Here is a 9,058-nt window from a genome sequence, read left to right as displayed (position 1 = left end):
AAAGGAGTGGGGGCTGCAGTGGGGGCGCTGTGTGATGGGAAAGTAGCCGGCTGAGTCTCACACTTTCTCCCGATTTTTAAACTTTCGGGCCGGGGGAGCAGAAATAAAGCCATTGTGCCGGGGTGGAGAAAGTGTGCGTGCTTGCAGCGGCTGCGTGCTTGCGGACTTCCCGCCAGCGCCGAGCGGCCGGCTTCTCGGGCCAAGTGGGGAGCGAGCGGGAGGGCGGGCAGGTGGCCCCGGGCCGCCGCGCCCGCGCCTTGGCTCTGCCCCCGGGAGCCGAGCAAGCCGCTGCTCCCTCGTGGTGTGAGGGCGGTGATGTTTTTCCTCCCACCCACTTTTGAGTTCCCCCTCCCCCCTCGCGCGCACTCTAGCTCTCGCCACAACCTGCCAGCCCCAGACCTCGGACGAGAGCGCCCCGGGGAGCTCGGAGCGCGTGCACGCGTGGCAGACGGAGAAGGCCAGTGCCCAGGTTAGTGAGCAGTGCCCGGCGCCCGCTTCCCTCACCTCCTTTTCCAGCCTTTGCACAGGTGGGTTGCCTTCTCTTGGCCGGAGCCGTCCCTGGAAGTTTCCCCAGGGTGCCCCAAATTCCCCTGCCACCCCAACCTGTTCTGTGCTCCAGCAGTTAGCAACCTGGATGGAGGTGGGGCCCAAGGCTTCTGACCAAAGCAAGTTGGGGGTCTCTGAATTCGAACTCACAGCTCGTCCCTCCCCACTCGGCCTGCATTTCTTTATGCTCTGGCGCTTTGAGAGGTCACTTAGGTACTCCACCCTGAGCTACCCAAGGGACTCTGCAGTCCCCTTAATCACTGCCTGTATTCCTGAGCCTGTTTTCTCATTTTGCTGATGAATACATGGTAAAGTTAATGTAGCAGGGTAGATGGGCGAAAGGCTCCCTATCCTATCCTCTGGCCATCTGCCTCATTTTTTGTCCCTGACTACGGGGGTCAGAATTTGAGACACTAGGCTCTGGAAGCAACGTGGTATATTGCCAGAACATAGGGCCCGGAAAGCCTGCTTTCCAGTCCCTCCCAGCCCTGCCACTAAAGTTATTTGAGTTCTCTGGGTCCCCCCAGTGCCCATTTTGAAGGTGGAGTTGTGTGGAATGAAATGAAATGATAGAAAGGTGTTTTGCAAGCCAAATGCGAGGCATTGTTTGTCAGTCATAAGCAGCAATGAAAGCATTTCCTCCAACAAGAGATACCCTGGGTTAAAACTGCCATTTTCAGTGGCAACACACCACCAGTTAACTGAACTTTTCTTGCTGGGTGGTAGAGTGGGGAGAGGATTTCAGCTGATGGACAAGGGCCTGGGACTCCAGTGTCTTTCTTATTGTTTGTCGGAAAGAAAATTGCTACCCTAGGGGCTGTCCCACAGATGATAGTCAATGTGAGATTACAAGGTCAGTCAAGCCTCTCAGGAGGATTAAAGAGACACTGTGGGGCGTGAAGAACTGGCTGACATGTGTTCATCCCTTAGCCTTCCTGTGGGGATGTCTCTTTGCTTCTGTTCTACCCAGGAGACCTGTTCTGAAAGTGGGCTCCTGACACTTGATGGCCCAGATTGCCTTGCAGTCACAGCTGGGCAAGGAGCAGTTGGTCCCTTTGCTTAACGCAGATGAACAATGTGAATGCTTGTTTCATGGAAGCACCTTAATAAATACCTTTCTTTTGGTACTTGATACATTTCTCTTTCTCTTGTAAAACACAGGAACTCTCCCATCCCACCTCCACTACCTGTGTTAGTTGCAGGGTTTTGTTTTTTTGTTGTTGTTGTTGCTTTCTTGTTGGGTCCTGGATCCCCTGAAGCATGTCAATGGCTACATGTCTAAGTAACCTGTAAAAGAGCCAGTGCAAGTTCAATGGCACAACAGCCTGTGTGAAGCAGACAGAGAGTTAATGCAGAAATAACTCCAGTTAACTGGGTCAAAGTATAATTTGAAAAATTAAGGACAGTTTGGCTCTTTGCAAGAATAAGAGTCGGCTAAGTTCGCTGAGCAATGCTTGCTAGTGTTTACTGCTGCAGTCCCAACACATGTTTTGAACCACCCCCTTCCCTAAAAGAAAAAGCTGAAGAGATAAAGAGAAATTGAACAGTGAGGAGATCTGGGGAGGGAACTCTTCTTGGTTCATATTTCTGCACAGAATACAAAGGCAGGACTTCAGGATCTTGTAAATCAAAAGTGAATATTTATAAAGCGATTCATTTTCTGATGTTCTCCATCACAGCCTGGGAGGCCACACAGATGACAGGAACGCCAAAGGAGATTAATTGCTCTCTAGTTACCAACTTTTTTATTTGCTCATAATATTAGTTGGGACCTAAGAAAGGCAAAAAAATCTATGAGCTGTTTTCTTGCCAACTTGAGTTATGAAGCAATGCTACAGTTCACCGAATCGCCCAACCATTATACAAGAAAAGCAGCCCTGTTGATTCTCGCATGGGGAGACCCTAAAACCATGGTTTCAGAAACACCCGTTGAAATCCATATATGAATGTGATAAATTGGATTTCAGTGGTTAAAAATCTTTCTCTTTTGGAGGCTTGGGGAATAAACTTATTAGAATAGGCTCAGGAAGAACCTCACTGAGGTGGGTAGCTGTGTTAAATTGTTAATGAAAATGATTTGTTTCGAATAAACGTGGTAGCCCTCAAGGGACAGTAACATTCTGAGTGATTGTAAGTGGGCCACAAACTCACAGAGGGGACCAAGACATCAGAACTCAGGTCTTTAGATGGGTAGGAACATGTCCTGAGAGAATTTGGTTCTTTAAGGAGCAGGGAGGAGGTAAAGAAGGAAGGCAGACGGTGCTGCAAATCTTGTTTGATAGCACAGATTACTCTATCATCAGTTCTTCCTTGGTTATGCATTCATAATTGAAACAGTGGATTTTGAATGACCCAGGCAACTTCATAGCATTTAAGTAGGAGCTGTAGCATCTACTTCAGAGCCCAAAGATATTCAACTCTCCAAAATGATCGTTTTGCATTCCTTCAAGTTCTTTATGTGCAATATTTAGGTTGGACTTTCTGGAAAGATCAATGAGTTCATTTCCCATTCAGATTGAATCTGGTGTTTTTAGAACATTTCAATATTTTCAGATCACCCATTGGAGGAATTTTGCAAACTCTAACATCTGTGGAAATGATCCGTGACTAGATGTGAGCTACAGCAAACTTTCTGTGTTCCAAGGTTCAAAAGGTTTAAGATTTCTACCCCTTATACTGGGAATGCCAATCTCATGTTTTGAAGAACTGTAGTTGTTTTAATGGTCTTTTGCATGGTGGTGCAAGGTGAACAAATTATCTATTTAATTTGCCCAATTTCCCCTAAAAATGGCCCATTTAAAATTTCCATTTTACAATGGACTTCTTGGGGGAGGAATATGTTGGAACCATTTTAAGCAGTAAAACTTTTCAGGTGTTTAATTGCATCCATTTGCTAATTACATCTATCTTTTGCAATATTAGTTGCCAAACCAAAGATCCTTGTAGATCTCATAGAGGACACAGGAGAAACTGATCAATTTGTACTTCATTCCAAAAGGATTAAAAGTAGTCTTGAAGCTAAGATTAGTTAACTTTCATTTCAGAAATTGCTTGGTCTCATGCTTGTTACTTTTACCTTGTTTGCTAAAATAACCGTTTTTGCAAGCTAAAGTTTCCCTTTTCTCCCAAAAAAATCTCTTGAGAAATCAACTTTAATTCCCTTAGAAAGGAAGATTTCAAAATTTATTTTCATTTTCCTATAACTTGCCTGTAAGGACTTAGCCTCAGCTTTGGATAGGAATGCACCCTCATTCACTTGAATTTTCACCCACAAGCCTTGCAAGACAGGAGAGGCAAGTCCTTTATCTTGTGCAGGCAGACAATACTTACACTTATGTAAATTCTAGGACATTTTTTTTTTATTCTAGCAGGTTAGAAGCCTGAGCATCAGTGACCTCTATCATTTCCAGAAGATCTGTGTTAAGTCTTTTTTCTGCTTTCTTCCCAACAGCTTGAAGGTTCTGTCACCTTTTGCAGTGGTCCAAATGAGAAAAAAGTGGAAAATGGGAGGCATGAAATACATCTTTTCGTTGTTGTTCTTTCTTTTGCTAGAAGGAGGCAAAACAGAGCAAGTAAAACGTAAGTGTCTTGCATTTGGAAAATAATACACTTTTTATAATTTCTTTGAAAATGTGGCTATAATCTGTAGCAATTATGATTTAGCCCAAATGTGGCCGTGCCATTATTCTAAGAGAAGAAAGTGAATGTTACTGGTTTATGCATGAATTGATAAAAGAATGAGAGCTTTGAATCAGGCCAACTAAATTTGGGGCTGTTTTTCTGATTATCATGTAGTCTTTGTCTCATAGAACATATGACACATTAGCTTATTTTCTCTTCCCTGTTCTAAACTATACAAATCTCATTACATTTTACGTAACTCTAGAAATATCTGACAGATGAGCTGGAATTTTCCCAAATTTCAGACTCTTCAGCAAAGGCTTTCAGTTTATGAAAAATAATGACACAGAAAAGAAAAAAAAAGAAAAAGAAAAGCAGGCTCTGCCTATTCCCTTATGCCGAAAAACGAGGAAGGACGAAACCTTCCTATGAACTGGGCTCAGATGAAAAATGTTTTGAGGAAATTGAGATTCCAGGGACCGTTAGCAAATTGGATGCCATTTATTGAAAAGAACATCCCCGCAAAGCCAGGGAATATTTCTAGAAAGTCAGCGATCCGTGTAATGGGCTAACACATTGGAGAAAGCAGAGAGTGGCAGGAAGTGGGGGCGGGGGGGATAATTAACCCTCCTTGCTGCCACGTTTAGGAGATTTATGAGTAACGGTCGACATATCCGTTCTTGCTGCCTTTGCACAATGTGGGTCTTACCTTCTTTGGGCCACTTGCAGCCATCTCTGAGGTAGATGCTTGCTCTAAATTTGAAGGAAAAGCCTAAGCTCTAGTTCCCCTTTTTGACAGCATCAAAAAAAGCACAAAATGGAATTGGTCCAAGAGGGGCATTCTCTGCTTCACTGAACTTATTCATGAGAAGGAGCTGTGAAAATATTCTTGGTAGGAACTGAAGCAGCATCTGAAGCCCTTCACTTAAACCTTTATCTCTTTTATCACATAAGTTAAATAGATCAGGCAGAAGGCTTGCTGACAAGGAGAACAGTGCCAAGCCTATTCCATCCTTAAGTGTGTTTCTGTCCCACTACAATTTTCATAGTAAGTGTAGTCTTCTTCCTGGGAGAAACAGTGTTTAATAGTGTTTTTGATTATGCTTTTGAGCATGAGCGGTGTATGGTGATATCTAGTATGATTGGGACACAAAAGGAAGTTTAGTGGGGCATGATCTCAGCAAGGAAGCTTGGATCAGCCTCTACTCTTGTATCCCTCAAATTGCTTCCTTCTTCTTCCACTTGAATATAGTTCATCTCAGAATCCTCCTCTTCCAGAAGCCTTCCTTGATTTAAGTGGATGTGACAGAAGCATCCATGCATTCTCAGCTCAGCTCACAATTAGCTGGGCTTAGGGATGAAATATTACTCAATAAGTACAATGTACATTATTTGGGTGATGGTTACACTTAAAGTCCACACTTTATGCGATATATCCATGTAACAAAACTGCACCTGTACCCCTTAAATTTATACAAAAAAATCTTCCTGTCTTAGAGAGAAACTTCCCTTATAGCCTGTTAATGATGACCTCATGGGGAAAGCTTGTAACTCTCAGAAGACCATCTCTTATGGAAAGCCTTTCATATTTATGAAGAATTGAATATTGTCCATGAAACTTAGACAAAGAAAGATGTGACTTAAAAAAATTACAAACCCAAATCTACTACTTTCTAATATTTCCTTGTGCTGATGAATTTGTCCCAAGCCCTTTTGATATTCAATTGGTGCCAAAGTGATTATGTAACAGATGGCCTAGGGCACCAGATCTGGTCCAGTGTTTCAGGCTTATTGTCAGATGATGACGCTAAGGTCATGGTCCTTCCCTTAGTGAGCCACTGAGCATCATTATGTGTGTCCATGCCCAAGCTAACTGTTCTGAAGACATGCAAAATCATCTCTGCTAAAGGGAAAACCTCAAAGCATATGTCCTATATATGCTGTCTTGATATATGCATGCACATACACAAACACACACAATATGCATGCACAGAGATTTATATTGCAGCTCTAACAGTGAGAAGTCAGAAGCAGTGGAAATGTCAGTTCATAGATAAATAGTTACAAAAATGATCCAGGTAATGCAATATAATGCTACTATTAAAAACACTGTTTATTGAAAATTTGGTGGCCCTGGGAAATGCTTGTTAACTTATTTTTAAGTTTCTTAAATTATAAAATTAATATATATGCTTATTATACAAAACAACATGAAAGCATCTGAGCTTCATATGGAACATGTGTCCCTAAACTCTCATTCCACTCTCCTGGGATAACCATTATTAGTGGTTTGCTGTGTGATCTTCCAAACTACTTTCTTTGTTTTATAAAATTATATATACATGCCTGTATGATATTTTATTTTACAAAAATAGGATATTATATACACTTTTCTGTGATTTGCTTTTGCTCAATAATGTGTGTAGGACATCCTTCCATGTCAATACATTGCAATGTAATAGTGCCATATTCTTTCTAATGCTTGCATGGTTTGCAGTTGCATAAGTTTGCATTGGTTTATTTAACCAGTCTATATTTGTAGATATTGAGGTTGTTTCCGGTTTTTGCTATTAAAAGTAAGACATTTATGAACATCTTTAGGCACTTATTCAAGTATTTGTGAGAAATAGTCGAAGTGCATGTTCAGTTTTAATCTTCATAAGTACTGTCAAATTGCCCTTCATATAAGTTGTATTAATTTATGCTCCCACCATCTATGTATGAAAGTCCATTTCTAATTCCTTCACCAAGATTATAATCAATCTTTGTATTTTGGGGCCATTTTAATAGGAGAAATAATCTGTAAGTTTTGCTTGGTATTTTTCTCTTTCTGCAGCATCTTTTCGATTATGTACTAGTTCAATTTTATTTCTTCAGTGAATTGTCTATTTTTAGTTTGGTTGCTTGTGATATTTATTTGTTAAAAACTTACTTATTAACCTTTTATATTTTAAATATTATTTTTGATATGCCACTTGTTTTAATCTTTAAGTTGTATTTTTCCCATATAGAAGTTTTAAAATTTTACGTAGTCAGATCTGTCATTCATTTTCTGTATGGCTTCTGGATTTCTTATTCCTAGGAAGGTCTTTCTCACCCTATATTTTTATATTTTCTTCTACTGCTGCCATAATTTTATGTTTTACCCATAGTTCTCTATTCCATCTGAAATTTATATTCCTGTATGGTATGCAATGGGGAACTAATTTTTTTTAAATCTCCGGATGGTAGGTTTATGAATGTTATTTTTGCTCACTTTTATGCTTCTGTCTATTCCAAAATTTCCACAATTGGCAAGTTTCACTTTTAAAACAGGAGAAAAGCTCTTTTTAAAGTAAAAGTACATCTTATTTCCCATATTTTTACTGTGCAACTCTAGAGACAAGTTGGTATGTGAGTAGATGAAGAAACAGAGGGGTTTTCTAAAATTAAAAAGGAAAGCAACTGGAAAAACTTCAGAAAATGGGTAAGAGTAGGCCTGGGTCATAAACCCTTCACGTCTCTCCTTGTCTGACACCATTTTACCAAAAGAAGGCAAAGTTTTTTATCTTGCAGGGGCTGGTTAGAATATAAGCTTTTAGGTCAAGGAATGTGTTTTGTAGCCTGTTTGCTCTCCTATTTGGGGCATCACAGGGGAATGACGGGGGATGCCATTATGGTCAAAGATGCTCACTCAATTGATTCAGAAATCTGAAGAGGTGTGGAAAAAACGCTTTGTTTGTGGAAAGCTCATCACAAGGAATGGTGAAGATGGGTGCTGCCACTTGCTGGTAGCTAATTAGCCATAGTTACAATTTCTCTTATAAGAGAGAAGACAGGCTCAGGAAACCCGAAAATACTGATAGTGCATTGCAATGGATGAATGAGCCATTTGTTGCTTACATAAAAGTTTGTTACTGTTTAGCATCAGCAAGGTTTGAGTTCTTTAGCTGGGAAAAGGTCCTTGTGTATAACTCCATTATGCTCTGTTGTTAAAGTTGTAGTCAATGAGGCCAGGAAACTCTTTTGAAGTTCAAAGGAGCGTAACATTCACAGCATAATATTCATGCAAATATGGGATAAATGGGCTGAAGAGTTTGCCCATTTGGCAGATCTAACTTAGGTAATGAACTATTGATCAAAGTGAGGTTGAAGAATTGAATTGTTAAGAATATTCAATTATGTATTTCTAATAGACCAGCCTGTGCCAAGTCTGGCAAAGGTTCTGGAGAGAGAAATTGTTCATGTATTTCATGCAGTCCACTCCTGCTTTACAAGGTAGTTAACTGGATCTTCAAGGAGCTAGATTGTCACTTATTTTTCTCCTCAAGAGAAAAGCTTCCAATATTCAGATTTGGCTAAAAGTGGGCCTCTGGACTTCTCAGGAAAGGCAAGCCACCAAAAGATTGAAGGGAAGGAAGAAGATACTTAGAAAGTTTGAAACATGTGAAGCCCACTTAGAACTTCTCTATTGTGAGAGCCAGCCAGGAAGGCATGGGTTTTCCTCCTCCAGATTCTCCCTTGGTCATTTGAGGTGATTATTGAGCAAGCAAATGCGTGGACCTGTTCACATCTTAGAAGTTTAATTAAGTGGAATTAGACGAAAGGAATACCTAAAATTAGATAGCTTAATGCTTTTCAAAGTATATTCTTAATTGTTTTTTATTTTGGTGAGGGGGCAGTAGGTTTTGTCATGGAGGCTCTGTAGTTAGCCTAGATCCAATCCCCAGCTCCTTGACTTACTTATGTACCTTGGGAATGTTACCTAACCTCTCCAGCTTTCGTTTTCTTATCAGTACAGTGGGGGAAATAATAGCATAATGAGCGTGAGCATTGTCATTTGAAGAAGAAACGAGATTGTGTACACCAAGTGCTTTGCATAGTGGCTGGCACATAGTAAGTTTTTCATAAG

At 40.7% G+C, this 9,058-nt stretch overlaps 1 protein-coding gene across 12 annotated transcripts in view; it reads left to right on the top strand.

Annotated features, from left to right (window-relative positions):
• Window positions 396–9,058, top strand: part of CHRDL1 (chordin like 1) — a 121,962-nt gene continuing 113,299 nt past the window's right edge. For 7 of the 12 annotated variants that reach the window (NR_159734.1, NM_001143983.3, NM_001367207.1 and 4 more), the window contains exons 1-2: window positions 396–469; window positions 3,998–4,125. Coding sequence is in view for 11 of the 12 variants with exons in the window: in NM_001143983.3 (NP_001137455.2) it covers window positions 4,032–4,125 (94 nt within the window). In the remaining variant the exon portion in view is untranslated. Of the gene's footprint in view, window positions 528–3,997; window positions 4,126–9,058 lie in introns of all 12 variants that reach the window. The other 5 variants (NM_145234.4, XM_005262222.3, NM_001367205.1 and 2 more) reach the window with 1 other exon arrangement.

The sequence above is a fragment of the Homo sapiens genome, chromosome X, assembly GCF_000001405.40.
Source record: "Homo sapiens chromosome X, GRCh38.p14 Primary Assembly".
NCBI lineage: Eukaryota > Metazoa > Chordata > Mammalia > Primates > Hominidae > Homo > Homo sapiens.
Note: the sequence above shows the minus strand (reverse complement) of the source record. Positions and strands in the feature narration are given on the sequence as shown.